The sequence below is a fragment of the Homo sapiens genome, chromosome 1 (genome assembly GCF_000001405.40).
Source record: "Homo sapiens chromosome 1, GRCh38.p14 Primary Assembly".
In the NCBI taxonomy this organism is placed as follows: Eukaryota; Metazoa; Chordata; class Mammalia; order Primates; family Hominidae; genus Homo; species Homo sapiens.
In genome coordinates, this window is record NC_000001.11 from 93,990,144 (window position 1) to 94,012,389 (window position 22,246).

Genomic DNA, 22,246 nt, shown 5'->3' on the forward strand with positions numbered 1-22,246 from the left:
CCTGAAACAGCTACCCCACAAGGGTGAGGCTGCTGTATTTCTAGAGGAAGAGCTCCTCCCTTGCCCCATAGTCCCCGCAGGCCGGCTGGGGCAGAACTTCCTCCTCACTGGCCACAGTGAAGGTGCCCAGGATGTCACAGAGACCCTGTGCCCCAAGCCCAGAGCTTTGCCGATGGGTTCTCTGCCCCACTTTTCTCTTCCTGTCTCTTCAGGAGAGCTAGAGTGGGCTTTTCACTCAGCTTGAAAGAGATTTCTCTTTTTATCCCAGCTATTCCAAAATCTTGAGCTCCCCAAAGAACTGGAAACTTAGAAATTCTGGCAGCACATCATATGCCTGTAGCTTCTCTTGAGTGGCCATGTTTTCTGAACTGACTCTCTCCATTTCCTCCTCCTTTTCCTCCATTTCCTCAATAATTTCCCTTATTAACAGACTGAGGCATCTTTCAGTAGAGTCACACATTCTCAGGAGATCTGGGCCAAGCTTCCAGCTTCAGCCCTCCTCAAACCCAAGCAAGCTGTGGCTTTGCCACCTCCTCCTTGCTTTGTGGCTGTTTGTTTGTTTGTTTGTTTGTTTTGACAGAGTCTCACTCTGTTGCCAGGCTGCAGTGCAGTGGCACGATCTCAGCTCACTGTGACCTCTGCCTCTCGGGTTCAAGCAATTCTCCTGCCTCAGCCTCCTGAGTAGCTGGGATTACAGGCACCCACCACCACGCCTGGCTAATTTTCTTTCTTTCTTTTTTTTTTTTTTGTATTTTAATAGAGACGGGCTTTCACCACATTGGCCAGCTGGTCTCGAACTCCTGAGCTCAGGCAATCCGCCCGCCTCGGCCTCCCAAAGTGCTAGGATTAGACGTGAGCCACCACACCCGGCCTGTGGCTGTTTTTAAAGCACGGCATCCTCCTGCTCCACTTGCCCTTTGCTGCTTTTTGGAGGCATCATTTTCTTGGACCCACTTCTTTTCTGTCTATTTTTCTTGCTGAGTTTTCATAGTTTGCTGGGTTTTCAGTTTGGTGGGTATTAGTTGAACATTTTCTGTGTGCCAGGAGCTGGAAAAAACAGGATGAAAAGACACAGACCTCAGGTGTAGTGGAGACAAAAGGTAAACTGAGATTTTTCCTTAAGGGGGTGTGCAGATTTTACCTGCATCGACTCTTCCCAGTTCATGATGCCTTTCCGAAACCCTCACAGCCAAACAGAATGGCTGCTAAACCACCTCCCCTACATAGTCTTTTTTTAGTTTTCTTTTCCTAAGCAGCCCCGAAGAGTGTAGTCTTCTTTCCTGTGATATTGCAGTTGCTAATTTAAATTATGAAACCAGCCAGGGTGCAGCAGTGTGATGCAAGCAGTGTGCTGGGCTTTCCCAACCTCTATCCTAGCCCTAGCTAAAATGGTCTTACAGTTTTGGTCCTTGGTAACTTAAAAGAAAAAGTCAACACCAGATGAAGCTGCGGGGTTACCAAAGTAGTTTTATAGTCTCTATGGGCAGTTGTTTGCCTAGCATCTAGAAGGTGCAAAGTGGCAAGCCAGGAGGTGTGCAGGACTTAAAGTTGTGTAGCCCTTGCCCTCTGTCTGCCTCTAAACAAGCACAGCTGAAACAAAAATTTTAGCACCTTGTGCTCACTTTCTTTCTCATCCTCTTCTCAGCAACAGTTCCTGGGCCTCAGCATCTCTCCCCTTTTCCTCTTGCCTCACCCCGACTCTGGAGTCTATCCTCAGTATAATGAAAGCATGTTTACGACGAAGCCCATCTCTAGGTCATGGAGGGGAGACTGCCCTGACAAGGAAACCCACTTGTTCTCCTCATCCACAGTCTCTGGAAATGTTTGGTTTAAAATTATTATTTTCTGAATCTTGATGAGCATTTATGTGAACTAGATGTCCATCTTCATTCCTTTTTATTTATTTATTTATTTTTAGATGGAGTCTTGCTCTGTCGCCAGGCTGGTGTGCAGTGGCACAATCTCAGCTCACTGCAACCTCTGCCTCCTGGGTTCAAGCGATTCTCCTGCCTCAGCCTCCTGAGTAGCTGGGACTACAGGCATGTGCCACCATGCTCAGCTAATTTTTCATAGTTTTAGTAGACACGGGGTCTCACTGTGTTAGTCAGGATGGTCTTGATCTTCTGATCTTGTGATCTGCCCACCTCAGGCTCCCAAAGTGCTGGGATTACAGGCGTGAGCTACTGCGCCCGGCCTTCATTCCCTTCTAACACCACTGCAGAAGATGCACATGGTAGCACTGCAGAAAAGGCACAGCAGCATGAGAATGAGGTCCTGACCTCTTCAAATGGTTACAAAGTCCTGTCGGGTCTCACGTCCAACCAAGGACCAACTCTCGCCTGTGCATGCCTCTTTGTCTCCTGTCCTAATTACACTTGTGAGGTAAACACTCAAATAAGCTGGGCAAACAGACACGAAACTTAAAGTCAGTAATACCCAGCTGACAATGGATAATGTTTACAGGCATTACTAGTTGGGTGTTTTCTTCAAACTCTACAAAGACTTGACATGGAACATTAAGACTAGTCCATTCACTTCCAACCTAGTGTTGCAGAATCTTGCCAGAACGAGCAGTCCTGAGGCAGTAACACTCACAGAAGTGCATGGGACTGACAAGGAGCTATGCACCCATCTAAAGAATGTCTAAAACTATACTAGGTGGTGCACACCAGGGAGACTGTGAATTAGGATAGTTTGTGATGAGTGCATTTGCATTTTATTTTTCCATGAAAATCACACACAACGCAGACACACAGACAAACATGCAGAAAAGCAGATCTGCTTGAAATGAGAGCAATATGGAGGCCAAAGCTGCTAGTGGGATGGCCCGGGGTTTCTAGTTCTGGGGTCTGGAGAAGGATTTTGTATTTGTTTGGTTTCACCATCAGGTGTTCCAGGTGAGCAAGTCAGTTTCGGTTTCCTTCTGAAAGACCTCTTTCTGAATTCGCTGCATGCTCCTCGTGTGTTTGTTTTCTGCTGCAGTGGGGTCATTTACGCTGGCCAGTCCATTTGGATGACCATATGGGCACAGGCTCCTGCGCCTCCAGCTGCCCAGAGTTCCTTTCTGGCTGCAGGAACGAGCGGTGTGAAAGATCAGTCCTGTGGAAGGAGATCACATGGACTCGCGTCATCTTGGTTTTCTGAGATGCTGTACTACTTTTAGATTTCAAAAGCTAAACAGTTGTCAATCAATTTCTGAAGGGCACTCAGCTGAGGGCACTGTGATTCTGTCAGATCACCCAGGTTATGGGCCATCTTTCTCTCCTTCTCTATGAAATCTATGAATCAGGTCTCCCTGGTACTAAGATCCAGGCATTTGTTACAAAGACACACATACGAGATGTGTGCATACATGCTTACATCCTGGGGGGAAGCTACACCCATGGTGCTGTTTCCAAGGGCTCTTACAGGGTCTTTTGGGGCTTTTTTAGCTTAAGAAAGTTACCATTATCTTAAAAGCCAAGAAATCCTAATTTAGGTCAGCCCTGAGGTATAGAATTCCCTTGACCACTTCCTGTAGGGGTGGCTCTGGGAAGCATGAAAGTGTGACTGGGGGAGGGGAGAGATGAGAGCTGGAGTGCAGGATATTAGGCTCCAGATCAAAGCTTGGGCTTTGATTAATAAAGATGTCCATGTTCCTTGAGAAGCGGACACCAAGGTGACCTTTTTAACTGGAGAGATACTGTCTCCAGTTATAAAGTGTGGGTTGAATTCCTGAACCAATGCCCGCTGTGGAGCTGGGGTAGTGTGGGCGAGGAGGGGACTGGACAAAGGCCTGACCAGTCTAGACGAAATGTGGTTTATCCCATTATCTGATTTAAAATCACACATCCTCTTAAGAGGATGACTAACACAGTTCTTAGGGCTGAGAACAGGATTTGAGGTGGTGCGAGGATCCCCATCAAGGCTGAGGGTACTTCAGAAACTTCTGAAACTAACACAAAGATACGAGTTATATGGGGGAACTGGAACAGTGTAAGAATAAGGATTAGAAATTGATCTGAGTTGTTCCTAATTTGGGAATGCACATGCGATGGTCACATAATTATTAACCTATTTAGGATGTTTCTAAGTTGTCTGATCATCTGTCACTACTTAATCTATTAACACCTTGACCCTCACTGGTTTTAATAACAGAGTATAAGATTGCATAAGACCTTATCCCAAAACATGTTTTCCAGGATGGAGTCCTTTGGAGAGTAAAAATGTTCTTGGTAAGCAAACGCTGATTTCTAGAGAAATATCTGTGTGGTCCTGGCTCACAATTTGGAGTTGTAAAGCCAATGGCCAGATGAACCTCCTGAAGTTCTCACATTTGCTTAGGAGCAAGTTGTAAATTCTCTCTAAAACTTCTTGAGAGAAATTGCCTTTTTCTTGTTTGAAGAATACTTTAAAGGAAATTATTTTGAAGTGGTATAATGTAAACAATAATATACTTACTATTATTTCATGACAGACATATACAATGCTATATGAAAGAATTTTTGCAAACCTTTGTAAAGATAGTATGTTGTAAAGTCAGAATTAGGTTTTGGATGAAAATTATCAGAAAAATATGCCAATAAGTGTGTTGCAGGTTTTCTAATCTTTGTGAACAAAAATGTAAAAAACACAATAGAAAAATGATCTCATCCAATAAGGGAGAAAAGTTTGGAATTAACTGCTGTAGATCACAGAACATCAGCACCCCTGATGTTCTGCCTGGCCCAGAGGTGATGTGGTGGGATTAGTCCTTTAAGAGGGAACATGCCAGGCAGGGGTGGGGAGACCATTGGTAATTCTGGGAAACAATTTTGCTACCCAATTCTATATTCTGAGTTACAGAGTTATAAAAAGGATTTGCAACTGCAAGTGGTTTTTAAAAATAATTTTCAACTGATGTCAACAGCAATCACCAGATCTATAAATGGGAATCAGTGGCTGGAAGATCTCAGTAAAAGCAAACTTTCTGTAACTAAAGGAGCCTTAGGCATTTCTGGGCCCTCTGGCAGGTAAGGGGTGGGAAGACAAAGTCAGTTTTGCCAAGTAGCCATTAGGTCTCTGCTGGTCAAGAGGAAGGGAAAAAATTCATCACAAGCACTGCTTTAGACAGCAGTGTTTCAATCATTAGCTGTATTTGGTTTTTCTTGCAATCCAGAAACTGGGCAGAATAAAAACTTTATGGGGAAATAAGGTTTTTGCATATCCTTGCTTCTTGATTTGATTTGATTTACTCTCCAGGTAAGTCAGAAGAGAGTGGCTAATTCATCCCTCTACAATCCCAGGCTTAAGCCAAGGCATTGGGATGCTGGTGCCTCCTCCAGTACTTGCTCTAGCTCTCTCCTTCTTGGGTGGTGTGCTCCTTACATGGGGCACTGTGCCAGGGCAGGAACCTACAAGCACCTATTCCAAGAGTTATCACAAGCCAGGAGACATACCTCCTATTGCTTCTTTCTCCATCTTCTTGTAATTTTTATAAAGAACAAAGAGCCCTCTTCCTACAACAGATGCTATTCCTTGATCTAACCAAATGTGTCTGACACTGAAATGATGTGCCAGTTAAGTCCCTTCCCTTGAAACTCAAACACATGTCCAGACATAGATGTCAAGCACCCAAAACATTCTAATATTCTCTATTACCTTCTCTGCTCCTTATTCCCCAAATCCAAGCTTTTTTGCTGTAAGCAAAAACATGGGAAAGTTCTTTTCAAAAATGCTCTCCCATGCTATCCAGATGGTTTCCTGATTACAATAGGAACCCCTACAACTACTGAATGAAAAGTTCTTCAGCACAGAACACACAGTGGCAGGGACTTAGCAAGGATGTGATGAGGATGTGGTGGGGACTTGGTAGGGACCGTGGTGTGGGTGGGGCTCTCTGTAGGAGGCATATCTGAGCCTTGGAGCAACTCAAGCCCAGTGAACCAGCTGGGCTCTGAGCCAAGGAACTGCCTCAAGCTGTGGACTGCATAAGCAGCAGGGGTACCTGGGCTTGTCGACTGGCTCCAGCAGCTCGAGGGTGCAGAGGGAGGTCATGACTTTCAGTCTGCTGTTTAGCAAAATTTACAAACACCTAGAGGTAAGAGAAGAGCGAGATTAGGTAGATATTTCCAGGAAAACAGCACCCTACACCCACCTACCCACTTTGCTCTCTATTTTCCACAGTTCACATACAGCCCTGCTGGTATGGCTTGTGTCCTACCCGGGGGAGGCTGGCCCACTCACAGAAGCCTGGCCACCACTGCCCTGGTCAGAGCTAGCTTCTTAGACTAGACTCCTGAGTGATGCCACAGGAGTTCCTGCTGGAGGACTCAAGGGACTTGGGCACCAGACATTGGGGTAATCAAGGCAAGGCAGATTCTCAGCTAGCAGCATCCTAATAACTAAAAAAAAAGGTAATTGATCCCTGTTCAGCTCCTCATTGAGTGTGCAGGTGGCTCCTGCTCGTGCCTCCCTCTGCTTAATGCTGATGAGAAGGTGCAGGTGAGCCAGATCCTCAGGGGTTAAATGGAGACTTCCCTGTTTCCACTGCTTTACTGAACTGTCTCTAAAGATGTTTATTTTTAAAAAAACATATATAAAAACACAAAACCCAGAAACAACCCAAATGTCTATCAATGAATGAATAGATGGATGAACAAAATGTAGCACATATACGTACAAAGGAATATTATTCGGCCTGAAAAAGGAAGGAAATTCTGGCACATGATACAACACGGATGAACCTTGAGGACATTATGCTAAGTCCTCGCATAATAAGCCAGACACAAAAGGACAAACACTGTATGATTCCACTTATATGAGGTATCTATAGTAGTCAGAGCCTTAGAGACAGAAAGTAGAACAGTAGTTGCCAAGGGCGAGGGGGGCAGTAAGTGGTGAGTTAGTGTTTAATGGGCACAGATTTTCACTGAAGCAAGATGAAAGAGTTCTATCGGGGATGGTGGTAACGGTTGCACAACAATGTAAATGTACTTAGTGCCACTGCACTGTGCACTTAAACATGGTTGGCATGGTCAATTTTATGTTATTATATTTTACCGCAATAAAAAATGTGATTACATTTTTAAAAACCACACATGGAATGCACGTTTATCAAAACTCACTAAACTGTACATTTAAAATAGGTGTTTTTGTTTTGTTTTGCTTTTTTGAGACAGGGGCTTGCTCTGTCACCCAGACTAGAGTGCAGTGGTATGAACACAGCTCATTGCAGCCTTGACCTCCTGGGCTCCAGCAATCTTCCTTCCTCAACCTCCCATGTAGATGGGACCACAGGCATGCACCACCACGCCTGGCTAATTTTCTGATTTTTTTTTTTTTTTTCTGTAGAGACAAAGTCTCACTTTGTTACATGGGCCTGTCTTAAACTCCTGGGCTCAAGTGATCCTCCTGCCTTGGCCTCCCAAAGAACCTGTGTTTCATCGTATGTTAATTACACATCAATAAAGCTGATTTGAAGGAAAAACCACCACCACAAACGAGCAAGAATGAAATAACACACCATAGCATCACAGGGAAGGAAAATGTAAAAAAAAGAATCAATGAAGTTTCCTGATGACTAAAAAATATTGTTAGAAAACAATTTCTGATATATCAGCTTTTACCCCAATAAACAGAGGGCAAGAGTTTGTTAAAAATCGGGAATGTTATGCCTCCCTCTTATGGCAATTCCAACCCACACTGGGTGTTCTGGACCAGTCTTTGCTCAGCTCTCGGTGCCCCAGGGCCAACTTGCCTGGTCCAGTGTGGTCTGTGTGACTGAGTACTCCTCGATGAGCAGGCTGTCCTTGTGGGAGAGGAGGAGCTGGAAGATCCTCGCCAGGGAGGAGGAGGAGACCTGGAACTGGAGCATGTTGTAGTGCCTCTCCCTCTGCACACTGCCTGGGAAGTTCCCCTGGAAGAACTGCTCCACAGGGTTCAGGTCAGGAAGCAGGTCGTCCTTCGGGGATTTGATCTTCATTGTGACGATATAGCCATCTCCAAATCTAGGGGATGCACACAGTGCAGGACAGGCCTCTGTTAGTGGTTGGGCCTAAGGTAATCCCAAAATAAGGAGTAGACTCATCAGAAATTTTGGGGATTAAGCTCAGCTTGGTGGCTCACACCTGAAATCCCAGCAATTTGGGAGGTAGAGGTGGGAGGATCACTTGAGCTCAGGAATGTAAGATAAGCCTGGGCAACAAGAAAGACCCTGTCTCTACGAAAATTAGCAGGGCATGGTGGCACATGCCTGTGGTCCCAGCTACTTGGGAGGCTGAGGCGGGAGGATCACTTGAGCATAGGAGGTCAAGGCTACAGTGAGCCATGATCATGCCACTGCACTCCAGCCTGGGTGACAGAGTGAGACCCTGTCTCAAAAAAACCGAAAAACAAGAAACAAACCCAAACAAGAACAACAAAAAAAGAAATACTGGGGATTAAAGGCCCATACCATAGACCTGTGTACATACTGAAAACTAGGAGAGAAAAACCATGGTAGTCCCTGGAGAAATCATTTGATACCAGTTTTTAGAGATCAAATGTCTGCATGGTAATGTGGGATAATCGTACTTGCTGAAGTCAAAGGTAGTTTTATTTATTTTATTTTATTTATTTTATTTTATTTTATTTTATTTTATTTTATTTTATTTTATTTGAGACAGTCTCACCGTTGCCCAGGCTGGAGTACAGTGGCATGATCTTGGCTCACTGCAACCTCCGCCTCCTGGGTTCAAGCAATTCTCCTGCCTCAGTCTCCTGAGAGGCTGGAACTACAGGCACCTGCCACCACACTCGGCTAATTTTTTTTTTTTTTTTTGTATTTTTAGTAGAGACAGGGTTTCACTATGTTGGCCAGGCTGGTCTTAAACTCCTGACCTCAAGTGATCCGCCCGCCTTGGCCTCCCAAAGTGCTGGGATTACAGGCATGAGCCACCACGCCCAGCCTATTTTATTTTTTGAGACAGAGTCTTGCTGTTTCACCCAGGCTGGAGTGCAGTGGTGTGATCTCGATTCACTGCAACCTCTGCCTTCTGAGTTCAAGCAATTCTTGTGCCTCAGTTTCCCGAGTAGGTGGGATTACAGGTGCATACCACCATGCCCATCTAATTTTTGTATTTTTAGTAGAGACAGGGTTTCACCGTGTTGGCCAGGCTGGTCTCGAACTCCTGACCTCAAGTGATCCACCTGCCTCAGCTTCCCAAAGTGATAGGATTACAGGTGTAAGCCACTGCACCTGGCCGTCAAAGGTAGTTTTAGCCCAGTGTGGGGATCCCAAGACTGCCCATAAAGACACGTGGACCAGTGCATACTGAGTGGTGGTAAGGGCTGATGGGCCAGGTGGGAGCAAAGGCTCGGGAAGGCAGCACTTCCCTGAGGAAGCTTCCTGAAACAATGGAGCTGCTAGGGCTTGGGCCATTGGTGCTTTCTTTCTCCTTCAGCAGGATGGCTGGTTACCCTCTCTTGGATGAGTGATGGTCCACCAGAGAGTGTGTGCACGGCTAGCGGGTGTCAGTACCCTATGCCCTGGTATCCTGTGTCAGTCATAACTGACTCCAAAGCTTCCTCCACAGTCTAGGGCTGTTCTCCTCTGCAGTAAGATGCAGAGGAGAAAGGCTGTTTACCTTTCAGCTCCAGAAAACTCACCATCCCTCCACACAGGGAACACTCCCCTCTCACCCCCTCTATCATGGAGATATTAAGGAGCTGGAGGGAAAGGAATAGGAGACTTCCCTTTCTCCAGCAGTTGGACACAGGAAGTTGCTGACACAGGTCTGGTGACCTGACATGCTGCTATTTCTATAGATATCTATGCAGTGTCCAAGTTGTAGTTGCTCAATAAATCATGGGTCAAACGTCCACTTGCCACAAGCAGCTAATCTATTAGACCTTTCTCTCAATTATTTATCTGCTCTGACACATATGAAAGGATGACATCTTCTGTGTAACACCCTCCTGTGGGTGCATCAGGATTATGCACCTCAGCATAGATAAGGTGGGTTATGTGCTGTTCCTCCCACCAACCAGCTTAGTGACTTATATTCTGAGCTCTTAATAAGTGTTTGTTAAATAAATGAGTAATTGTAACTCTGCTCTTTTCTAGGTTATAAAGCATATCAGAACGTGAATGAGCACGGCAATATGCTGATAATCTTAAACTGTTAGCTTTGGCATGCAAACTCTTAATAATAAGGAATTATCTACAATAGTTTACAATGTGTGGGTACAGGATAAGGATAATCCTATTCAAGATTACTGCCATTGTTGGTTTGTCATATAACATATGGTCTTTTTTCAAACTCAAAAGCATACAATATTCTAAAAACAAAGATGGGTCCTCAAGTCAGTTGGTCTCCTAACCATTCCTACATTGGAGTGGACTCTTAGTAAATAGGCCACAGGTCCCGGATCTGTTGAGATAAGTGGTGAAATATTGAGGCAGTGGTAGCAGCCCTCCCTCATCCCAGCCAGGCTCTGCATGCATCCTGATCAGATGCCCCATCCAGAGACTTGGGCGAGTCTTCGACCACAGGAAATTAGGCCAATATAGAGGAGTTTCTTATCAGCATGATGGCCTTCTCCATCTGCTGCTGGAGAATGAGGCCCAGCCACCACCTGCCTCTGCCCCAGGGGATGACGGAGCAGCAGGACTCTTCCAAGTGTCAATGGAGAACACAGGATCCAGGTGGATCCACAGAAGGCAACAAGGGGCACGCCCCACCATCTGCTTACTTGGACTTGAGATGCTGAATGGTGCCCATACATCGAAAGGCGCCCTTTACCATGATGGCCAGCCGGGTACACAGTGCCTCACATTCTTCCATGCTGTGGGGCAGGAGAGAGGAGGTGAGCAGGAGAGGATTCCCACCCACCTTCCCCAGCCCTGGGAATCTCTTGCCTGTGGGATGTGAGGACCACAGCCCTCCCTTCTCTGATGATGCTCACGATGACGTTCCACAGCATGCGGCGTGCCTGGGGGTCCATCCCTGTGGTGGGCTCATCCTGGGGGGTGGAGAGAAGGTTGGGGGCACAGGCTGGGAGCTGGCCCTTCTGATTACTGCTTCCCCCTGGGCTGGCTCCCCTGTGGAGGATGAGCTGACAGAAGGCGCACACAGTCACTCCCCTCACTTGAGCAAGACAGGGGTACCCTGGTGTAGGGTAGGGAAGGCAGGAGGTGGATCCAAGAGTAAAGAAGCGTGGCGTCCATCCTGGGCCCATTTCAGCCCACGAGGGGATTAAAGTGGATTAAGGCAATGACAGAATTCTCCTCAAAAAAAGAAAATCCTGCAAATACATTTGTCAGAAGGCAGGGAGGTCACTCAGGTCACTTCCTTGGTTCCCGCTATGTCCTGTGCCCTCATGATCCTTGGGCTGCGTGGGCATGGCCTCAGGCCTGGCCTGGCTCAGCTCAGGAGCCTTTGACCCAGCTCAGTGCTCCTGTATGGGGACCAGACACCGACAGGCCGCAGAGTGGGCTGAACTTCCCGGCTGTGAGCCGATGGCCCCACAGGAGACATCCTGGGAACGCAGGATGTGCGCAGTCCCAAGTCAAGGCTGTGCCGTGACTTGTTTTTCTCCGGAGCTGTGTGAACCAAACACTGGGCTGATCGCTCAAAATGAGCAACACAGGAAACAGTCCAGACTAAAGCCAAACTGCTGCAGTTTCTAAATCTGCCGACCCAGAACCTATTTCCCCAACCCAAGAGACCCAGCACTTGGTTTAAGCCCTTGGTGCGGCCCAAGCCCGCAGTTACCAGCAGCACCAGCGGTGGGCAGCCAATGAGTGCGATGGCTGTGGAGAGTTTCCGCTTGTTGCCCCCACTGTACGTGCCAGCCAGGCAGTCGGCGTAGACAGTCAGGCCCAGGCTCTTAATACTCCAGTTTGCAACCTAGGGAAGAGAAAGAAATGCCATTTGGAGAAGACAAGCAAACACCCCAAACCTCCCCCAGTTCAAAGCCTTGGGCTCCCAGATCTCACGCCTCCAGAATGAAATCCCCAGCTAGGCTGAAACAGGCTCCTGCTGGCTCCTGTCCTCTGGCATGTGCTTCAGGCGCCAGACAGGGGCTCTTTCTCTCTGTGTCTTGGATCCCAGGGTGGCCCAGCCTGCTCAGCATCTGTTGGGTGTAGCCGCCTGGGAAATGGACTTCAGCCTTACAAAGAGCAAGACAGTGGGTCTCGCCCAGCGTCCTGGACCATGGCTAGCAGTGGAGGAGGAAGGCTCTGTTTGAGAAGATGGTGAGTCCCAGACCTGTTGATCCCACCCGTCAAGAGGGTTACACCCAAAGCCTTGTGCATCCGACACATACCTATGGAGCACTGACCATACGCCAGGCACTGAACCAGGCACTGGAGAACAATGTGAACACAGCCATTGCTGCTATCCTCAGACTGCGGGGAGGTGGCAGTCAAAATAAACAGAATACTGGCAGATCGTGACAGTGCTGTGAGGGAACGATGACAGAGACACCAGGTGTGTGTGCACATGCGCAGGAGGGGATCTAGGGAAGCCACTGGAGACAAGCTCACCATGCTTCTGCCTTCTATACTAGTCCCCCGTGCCTGGAATGTTCCTCCCTAGGTGTGCACGTGGCTCCTTCTCTCACCTCTAGTTCTTCATTCAGGTTCTCTCCTCTGCAGGCTCTCCCTGGGCCACCCTACCTCAAAATGCAAACCCTGCCCCAGCAGTTCCTCCCTGCGTTACTTTTCCCTGAGGACTTTTCACTCTCTAATGTACTGGATATTTTACCTATTTATCTACAGATCGTCTATCCCTCCCACTAGAATGTAATCTCCATTTTTAACTTTTTATTTGGAAATAGTTTCAAACTCACACAAACATATAGGAATAAAAATAGTTCATAGAATTATTAACTAATAAAACCCTTCTCTCTCTCACACACAATTTTTTGTGACCCATTTGAGGGTAAATTACTCATCACAGCCCTTCACTCCTAAATACTTCAGGGCATATTTCCTAAGAATAGAGATCTTCTCTTACATAACCACAGTACATTATCAATGTCAGTAAACTTAATGTTATGATACATTTACCTAATCTACTGTTCATAGTTCAGTTTTGTCAGTTGGTCCAATAATATCCTTCTATCATTTTTTTTCTCTTCTGCACAAGATGTAGTCTATTGTCTGCTATTCAGTCATTATGCCTGTTTAGCCTCCTGCGATCAGAGATATTTCCATAGCTCTTTCTTTGTCTTTTATGACTCTTATGTTTTTGAAGAATACAGTCTCCTTTTTTTTTTTTTAAGGAATATTCCTTCTTTGGAGCTTGTCAGATGTTTCCTCATGATAAGATTCAGGTTACATATCTCCAATCTGGATTCTACATAAGTGAAATTGTGTCCTTCACAGGGTATCACATCTCGGGGCATGAGATGTCCATCTGCCCCTTATGGTTAATTTTGATCACCCAGTTAAGGTGCTGTCTAATTTCTCCATTGTAAAATTATTATGTTTCTCCCATGTAACCAATAAGCAATCTGTACAGAGTTACTTTTATTTCTTTAAAATTATATTATTATTATTTTAAGAGACAGAGTCTTGCTCTGTTTCCCAGGCTGGAGAGCAGTGGCTTGATCACAGCTCACTGCAGCCTCAACCTCCTGGGCTCAAGCATTCCTCCCACCTCAGCCACCTGAGTAGCTGGGACTATAGGCGTGCACCACCAGGCCCAGCTAATTTGTTTGCTAATTTTTTGTAGAGACAGGGTCTCCCTATGTTGCACAGGCTAATCTGGAACTCCTGGGCTCAAGCGATCTTCCTACCTTGGCCTCCCAAAGTGCTGCGATTACAGGTGTGAGCCACCATGCCCAGCCCCTTATTTTTTTTTTAAAAGCACTTCCTTACTTTCTGGCATAAGATATTCCAGGTTCATTTTATACCTATGCCATTCCAGCCCTGGAACTTATCATTTATTGGAGGAATCAGGGTTACTTTTAGTGGGGAATGTTATTAAGACAAAAGCCTGAGTGCTAAGTGTGCTCATGGCTACTGGGGTGTTTTTGCTTCTTGAGCCTTTCGGAAGACAGATACACACATGCAAATATATGTCTATATATACATGCCTATGTGCATGAAACATGAACACATCTGCATGCACCCACAAACACAAGCATATAAATATTCCTGAATTCCCAGTGCTACCTCCGGTTCCTATCCATGACCTCACAGTTCTTTCTTGCTTTTCCCTTTTCCATATTTGTAAGTCCCTTCTTCCACGGTGAGAATTCTGGGTCCCAATAACATCAAAACATTTATTAATTTATTTAATCCTGTAACACATCTAAAATTTTCAGAATCACTTTGCCTATACCACTATAAAAAACAAACTAAAAAGAACTCAGAAATTATTTGTAGTTCTTCTCCCCCGCTCCACCCTGCCCAAGAATGAGGATATAGAGTCAAACACTGTGTTCAGCAGTTGTTTGTGTTAGCTCTATCCCCCTTTTGCAAGATTATGATATTTATTTGAAATAAAATTGGGTTACTTTATTTAGTTTGCTGTCAGTGTTAGGTTTTCTTTTTGTTTTCATTTTTGCCTACTTCCCATTCTTACTGATTTTTTTTGAATATGTGGAACATTAACATGCTTCCAAAAATTAAAACTATACAAAAATATATCCCCAGAAGTACTGTTTCCTCCCATTTTTCTTTCTTCCCATTTTCTTCTTGTTGATCACCAAATTCATTGTTTTCTGGTTTATCCTTTCTACGTTCTATTTGCAAAGGTAAGCAGACATACGTTTACTTTCTTGTTTTTCCTTCTTTCTTACATACAAAGTAGCGTTCTCTATGTTCTGTTTTCCACTTTGCTTTTTATCATTTAACAGTATTTACTGGAAATATCTCCATATCAGTTTACTGAGACTTTTCTTCTTCTTTTTTATAGTTGCGTAAGACTTTATTGTGTGTCTGTACCATAAATTATTCAGCCAATCTACAATGACTAAACATTTAGGTAACTTCCAGCATTTTGCAATTACAAATGCAATGGATCACCTTATACATATTCATTTTGCACTGTGGGAGATGCATCTTCAGGATAAACTCTTAGACGTGTGATTGCTGAGTCAGAGGATAAATGCATACAACATTTTGTTAGATATGAGAGTGGGGATTTTTTTTTGTCTGTCTTGTTCACTGCTATACTCCTGGTTTCTAGAACAGTACTTGGCACACAGTAGACACATAGTAAACATTTGTTGGAATGAATGAATGAATAGCACGCTTCAGTTTCTCATCTCCAAGAGAATGCACTCTCATGAAACAGGCTTGTAATTAACCAGACTCCTATGTGGCCACAACAAAACATTTTTCACCTTTTCGATTTCTTCTGCTGGTACACCTCGAAGCCGGGCATAAAGGTAAAGATGTTCTCGTCCTGTGAGCAGCTCATCAATTGCATCAAACTGAGGACAGTAGCCCATATTTTGATGGACTTCAGAAATATTGGTTAAAATACTGCAAGAAAAAAAGCAATTACTGAGTATCCTTCAAGGAGTGGAGGGATGACCATAGAGCTAGGGCTGGAGAAGCTTCTGCCAACGGGAAAAGGAAGCTGCTTCTTCTCTTCTCCTATTTGGCTTCAGAAATGCATGGGATATTTGGGAATCAAAACAGGGGCCCTTCGGTTAGAAACTGAATCCTGTCAGATTCTTCCATGTTTCCATGTCTAGGATTAATTGAATCCCTGTTACGCCAAAAGTCAGCTTTCATTTTGGATCAGATCACCTCACATGTGAGTTTAAAAACAGAGGGAAGATCAGGTTTAAGAAAATGATTCATGATTTATCAATAATTTTCAGACATTTGGGAAGTAACTAGAAAAGATGCATGTGTCCCGATGGAAGTAAACTTCTCTATCTGTATTTATTGGCAAAGATAGCAATGAAAGAGGAGCCAGTCAGATAACTACCCACAGCGAGAGGCCTGCAGGGAGCAGGGGTAGAGTGAGTTGGGTTCCACCAACTCCCTTTGGCTAATATATTCACCCCCACTAAAAAATATATTGCCAAGATGGAAAATAAACTATACATAGACATTTAGTCTAATCTCATCCTTTTCTTCTTATAGCTTAGGGTCTATGAATAAAGGATGGATGATATAGGATGGTACAGAGAGACCATTACAGTTCCCCACAATGACAAAAGCCACCAAAGGCATGGCTGGGCCAATTAAAACTACTCAGGGAAGCAAGTAGGGTACGTTTCCAAATTAGTGGGAGCTACCCTACCATATAATCCCAATTCTGTGTCTTAAGCCTATAGTTTCTTTCTAGCGTCCAGCTCAGTTTTACCTTCTGGATGTCAGACTGTGCCTCACTTGGACACAGTTGTAACTTGATGTCTCATAAATGTGCTCATGGAAAATTCTATGATATCTTTCCCCTGCCATGGTATGATATCTCTACCCTGCCATGACTCCTTTTGTCACCATGAGGAAGTCACCTGCGTGGTCACTTGCAGGTGAAGCTGGATCTGTTGAGATGGACTCAGCCATGACCTGGCTTCACCCCTGCCTGTCCCTTTTCTGTAAACCCAGTAGGGCTGGCTATGGAGGCCAAAGAATCAAATTCATCCTGTCTGAGCCAGTGAAGCGTGCTCAGGACTCGTCCTGCCCACTGGGCATTGGGCCATGCTGAGGATGGCTTTCAGGAGAGAGGAAGAGGCCCCAGTCAAGCAGATGCTGGACAGATGTCAGCAGCACCTAACTCCACTTATAAACCAGGGCAGAGGCTTCCTCTGGGCACCTCTATTGTGTGTGCTGAAGTTTTACTGTTCAAGCTTTTCCTGCAGCCAGGAAAGAGGCAGATGAGTGAGAGCTCATCCTCTCTGTCCTGCCCATAGGGGACCAGTCTGTTTAAACACATTTTATTACAGAGAGCAGCAGTCACCCTCCAGAATCCAAGGGCACACGCCAGTTTTCCCTCTATGCTCCTTGGTCTGGCAAAGCCAAATATCAGCCTACAAATAGCCAATGCAGGTTAGGCTACCCCAAAGGCCCATGCATGAGCCCCTATCTAGAAACTCAACCCAGAGGAAGGATTCTTCATTCATCACAGGGGTTCTTAACCTGGGATTCAAGAGCTCCTGCAGGATCATAAATGTGACCTGGGGCTCAGTAAACTCCCTGAAACGTTTTGTAAAAATGTGTGGAGGGAGGTAATGGGAAGCAATGGTGCATTTTTATAGGAATAGGCTACAAATATTCATCAGATGCTTAAAAGGTTCCGTGACCTCTAAGAGATTAAGAACCACACACTTAGTGCTTCCCAGGTCTTTCCAAGAATCCATCCCAACAGAGGAATCTCTTAACTATCACAATTCAGTTCACTTTTCCATTGGGTCTATGTGTTGGGCTTTTTGGGCCATGCTCTCTGGGAGGCCTCCTTCTCTGTACAGATCTTTCAGGGCCTCAGAGCCACCCTACTATAGGGTCTGATGATCACCCTTCCTATTCTTCTCACAGGACCTGTGAGAGACTCCCTGAGACAGGAGGAGCAGGATACTCACCTCTTGCCTGCTACGGTGGCATCCCCTGAGGTCACTGTGGTGTCCCCAGTGAGCATCTTGAATGTGGTTGTTTTGCCGGCACCATTCACTCCCAGGAGGCCAAAGCACTAGGAGAAAACACAGAGCTAGCCTGGCCCTAGAGATCAAGAAGGTCTAAAATGTCAGGCCCCAGGGTAAGTGTGTGTGTGAGCTGGGGGAGGAATTTTAGACCTGGGCTGCCATCAGAGGCCACGAGCCATATGTGGCTACTAAGCACTTGAAACACATCTAAGTCCCAGTTGACACGGGCCCTGAGTGTAAAGATTCAAAGACTTAAAAACAACGAGAAATTGTCAAATATTTCATTAATAAGGTTTTCTATTAATTACATTTTGAAATAATATTTTGGTTATATTGAGTAAAATAAAAAATACTAATGAAATTAATTTTACCTATTTTCTTTTTACTTTTCTCATGTGGCTAGTGGAAGATTTAAAATTACATATGTGACTTGCATTATGGCATTATGTTCCTATTGAATAGCTCTGCCTTATGGGGAGGAGAGGCAGGCACAAGAGCTGATGTTCGGAAGCCTTTCACACGTGGTCTGCAGAGTACCCACCTCTCCAGGGCGAACTCCGACACACAGCCTGTCCACTGCTGGGCTGGAGGTGCCTGGATAAATCTGCAAGATACGAAGAAACCGGACTGAGAACTGAGACAGGGTGAGAGCAAGGAGGGGAAGAGGGAACAAAGAGCAAAGGATGGTTTAGGAGAAAACTACCAGCACTAGGAGGTTACATATTGACATGGGCAGGCACAGAGGTGTGGTGAGTACTGAGACATCTCGAGGCTGACCCATGCTCTGCAGAAACAGAACACAGAAAAGGGAATGATGCTCAGCTGGAGTGATTCTCACTGAGGCCCTGTGTCAGTGCCCGAGATGAATAGCAGGGAACACACATTGGAATTAGATGCTCTTGGAAGACGAGTTATAACACAGGGATGATGACCCTACATAAAACTGGGAACCAAATTGCTTGCATAAGCATATCAATTGTTCTATAGAAGGAAAATGGCAACATCATGCCAACTGTGGATCTAACCAGCACCTCCAAACTCATACCCATTCCCTTACCTTGGTTAGTTCATGTAGCCTTAAGATGTCAGTTTTATTTCCACCAGTAATAATTCTTTGTCTTTCTTCAGCCACATCATCATCTTCATCAACAATGGGCTCCTTAGTGGGCTCGGCAATCCTAGATGAAGAAAAGGGGTCAGGATTGGGCTGGCTGTACAGTGTCCTTGGCACTGTCCTTTCCATGGGACCTCTCTTCCACTTCCTTGCTTCTGCTTCCTTCTGGGCTTCCATCCTTTAAGACTTAAATTCTAAAAAGGGCTCCCAGCAGGAGAGGCATTAGGCATTAGGTAGAGAGGTCAGGTGCTCATGTCCAGAGTCAGCCTTGGGTTCCAGTCCTGGCCTCCTCATGTGTGATCTTGGGCATTGGACCTCTCTGAACCTTGCCTACTTCAACCATGTGATGAGGAGGAGGGTAACAATACCTGTCTCATAGGATTGTGCTGAAGATGAACTCAGCACAGTGCCTGGCACAGAGTAAAGACTCAGGGCCTGGGATCACCGTCAGGACTAAAATGCTTCCTCTACAGCAAGCACTCAGTAAGGGGTAGTTACTAACCTCCGAGCCTCCCACTTCCTCCAGTCTGCCCTGCCAACTCCACCTTTCCAAAACAGAGTTGTCATCAGGCCACCTCATGCCTCAAAACCTTCTGTTGTTCCCCATCAGCTGTAGGTTGAAGCCCTCCCTCTGCAGCTGTAGTTACAGCCCTGCAATCCAGCCCCACCTACCCTTCTCACTTACCTCTTGCACTAACTCCTCTGTCAGCAATTGGCATCTCCCCCTGGTTCCCAGTCCTATTGGTCATTCCCGTCTCCCAGCCTCCGCATGTGTTTCCAGTCCCTCAATGTTCTCCTCCTCCTGCCCCACCAAATGGAATCTTCCCCATTCTTAAAGACACAGCCTCTTCTTTGAAACCCTCCCTGACCTTCTGGAAGCCAGGGACTATGGTGTACTTCTCTGGTCCTCTTTAGGCCCTAAAGCAGGCAGGACTCATTCAAATGTGTTGACATCAGAGTTTGAAGCTAATGAGTCAATTTGGGTAGTCAACCTCCTGACCTGCTCTCTCCCACACAAAAGCCTCTAAAAGGTATGGCCAAGGCTGCAGAAAGGGTCTGCAGGGGCTGAGGGTGCCAAGGACAACAATTCCTGACACTGTCTCCCATAACTAGAACTGCTTGTGTATCCTGTTTCATCAGGCGTGTGTTGACACCTGTGATCTCATTCACCTCTCACAGTCCTGTGAGTAGAAAGGCAGATTCATTTCCAATAAATCAATTCCCTGTGGATCAAAACATAAAACCAAGTCCTTGGAATCTATTTACAGGTGACCACACTCAGCCTGAGAGGAGGAAAAGTTAAGAAACAAAACACTATTGGGGAAAGCTTGCTAGGAAGGGCTGCTGCTTGGCAATTCAGGCCCCTGGGTGAGGACAATAAAGGTAGGACTGGATTGCAGAGGGGAGTGAGGCAGGGGCCCACCCAGCTTCAGGAAGAGCCTGCGGAAGAATGGCAATTGCCAGCTAACCTGGCATTTGAGAAGCCCTGGTCAAAAGTCAGGGTTGGCAGCTACCCACCTTCCTCCAGGAGTGGGGGGTCGTGATCACTGCCCGCACCCCTCCACATGGCTCCCATATTACTCCCATGCTCCCAAATCTCTAATTAGCAAAGGGGCCTGCTGTGTCCTTTCTCTCATAAATACATTAGTCTATTTCCTAGTACTTTGGATACCCTGTAACCATTGTTATTTGCAATACTATCATCTAATCAAAATACACATTTGGTAATTAAATGAGAAGGATTAAATATCAGCAATTGAAATTAATAGCACTGCATTTTAAATATTTTAAAGTGGATGCTCTTCACATATTTGAATGTGCCTATTTTAACCCGATCCTCTACTTGTATTATTGGAGAAAAGCCAGGCTTTGAGAATGTAGAAAAAACATTGTGGAGTGGGGCTCCTGAGGAAAGAAATGACCATGTGGGTATAAGGTCCAGTTCTGGATGCCCTGAGCTGCCCACTGGCCCAGGGTGTGGCATGGACGTACCATTGGGAGAGGAAGAAGTGGCGCTGGACCAGCAGGGTCAGGAGGAAGTACACCACCCCTTCCACCACCATGGCAAACAGGTTCTTCCCAATCAGGTCCCAGTGGAACGGATTTGCAGAGTGCTCCTCACCTGGGCATCAACAGGAATTGAGTCCACTTCAGCCGCCCCAGCTCACCCCACAGACCTGGCCACAGCACAGGGCCCACTAGACCAGGCCTTATGTGGGAACTGAGCAAGAGCCAAACACCCGCCTCATAAGGGCTGCCCTCCATCCCTCCTGTGGCTCCCCAGCCATGGAAACAGAGGCACCCTAATCCTCTCCAGCTGGCAGGACACCTCCAGCCCAACAAGGTCCCCTCCTAGCACCAGCCCCTGCCACAGTCTGATGCAGGAGCCCCCCCGGTAACCCTCCCAGCTTTGGACCCAGGGCCCATGCTCCATGGGCCTCGGCTACCACCCACCAAACCGGGCATAGACATCTGTCACAGCCTGGCTCAGTGCAAGGTCAATGAGGCCCCGGCCCAGGCAGAAGTGGGGGAAGACAATGAGCAGCTTCCTCAGCACGGCGTTGAACCTGAGCAGCGTCTGAAACAGAGAAGTAGGACTGTTGGAAACGGGGCAAACCCCACCCCCCCTCTCTTCAGCAGGTGGGGCCCAGATGCTCTCACAGGACAGCACAGGGCAAGGCCTGCAGACAGAGAGTCCTTGCAGCCAGACTGGCCACTGGAGGGATTTGTCCAGCAGAGCATCATGGGTTTGCAATGGAGGTCATGAAGTACTTACAAGCAGTGCCTCAAGGCCAGGCCAAGGAGCTAATCAATTAAATGACCAATCAAGGACTGGGGCTCCCTGCAAGTTTCTAGTGGGCGGGAGCTTCCCCTTTGTCTAGCCAGGCAGCATCTTCTAAACATTTACTATGCTCAGTACCATGTGGGCACCGAGGCTAACTGTGAGGAACCTGCATTACTGTCCTTACCCCTCCCCTAGGTGACTCTGGGGGTGACAGCAGGAATGTGCAGAGAAGCTGCAGCCCTCCTGCTGTCCACTTAGGGAGCTCTCCCTGCAGACTCACTTTGAAACAACAGGAGCCCTCAAGGCATTTGTTAACACCAGGCCCTGAGCCATCTCCAGCTCTGCTTTTCAGCCCCTCACAGGGCAACTACCATTGTCTAGGGAGAGGAGGGTTGGAGACTCTCTCTGGGGTCTGTGTTAAGCCAGGGACTTGTTTTCAAGTGGTCGGACTTGGCATGTTGGGCAGAGCCTCCCCTGAGAAAATAGAAGGGACATCGAGGCGTACGAGGCCAGCATAGCTCCTGGCTGGGCCACTGCTGTCCATTCCATCTGGCTCCTCCCAGTCCCACAACCTCCTCCCTCTCCAGCCTCCACACCTGCGCCCACATTACCTCATCCTTCCCTGCCTACCCTTTCTCCCCACTCTTTCTGGAATCACTGTGCTCTTTGGCCTCTAGGCCTGGGCATGTGCAGGCTGTTACCTATTGCTCCAAGCAGGAAAGAATGCTCTTTTCCCTTCTGCTTTCTTAAAGATTCCTGTTCTTCTTTAGACAGCTGGCTCAGAGAGTGCCTTCCCT

At 46.4% G+C, this 22,246-nt stretch overlaps 1 protein-coding gene across 2 annotated transcripts in view, besides 1 other annotated feature; it reads right to left on the reverse strand.

Moving 5' to 3' along the window:
- ABCA4 (ATP binding cassette subfamily A member 4) overlaps positions 2,691 to 22,246 on the reverse strand; it is a 128,315-nt gene continuing 108,759 nt past the window's right edge. For both annotated transcript variants that reach the window (NM_001425324.1, NM_000350.3), the window contains 12 exons: positions 21,119 to 21,242; positions 20,657 to 20,786; positions 18,608 to 18,728; positions 18,092 to 18,154; positions 17,491 to 17,597; positions 15,298 to 15,439; positions 11,715 to 11,849; positions 10,859 to 10,962; positions 10,693 to 10,785; positions 7,718 to 7,967; positions 5,966 to 6,052; positions 2,691 to 3,099 (listed from right to left, as the gene is read on the reverse strand). In NM_001425324.1, coding sequence (NP_001412253.1) covers positions 3,094 to 3,099; positions 5,966 to 6,052; positions 7,718 to 7,967; positions 10,693 to 10,785; positions 10,859 to 10,962; positions 11,715 to 11,849; positions 15,298 to 15,439; positions 17,491 to 17,597; positions 18,092 to 18,154; positions 18,608 to 18,728; positions 20,657 to 20,786; positions 21,119 to 21,242 — 1,362 coding nt within the window. In that variant the 3' untranslated portion in view covers positions 2,691 to 3,093. The remainder of the gene's footprint in view (positions 3,100 to 5,965; positions 6,053 to 7,717; positions 7,968 to 10,692; positions 10,786 to 10,858; positions 10,963 to 11,714; positions 11,850 to 15,297; positions 15,440 to 17,490; positions 17,598 to 18,091; positions 18,155 to 18,607; positions 18,729 to 20,656; positions 20,787 to 21,118; positions 21,243 to 22,246) is intronic.
- Positions 21,168 to 21,667: an enhancer, noted in NCBI's record as "H3K4me1 hESC enhancer chr1:94476867-94477366 (GRCh37/hg19 assembly coordinates)". NCBI's record gives its function as "activates a minimal SCP1, AML or CMV promoter by ChIP-STARR-seq in naive H9 embryonic stem cells {active_cell/tissue: H9 hESC(naive)}" and the evidence as "EXISTENCE:reporter gene assay evidence [ECO:0000049][PMID:30033119]".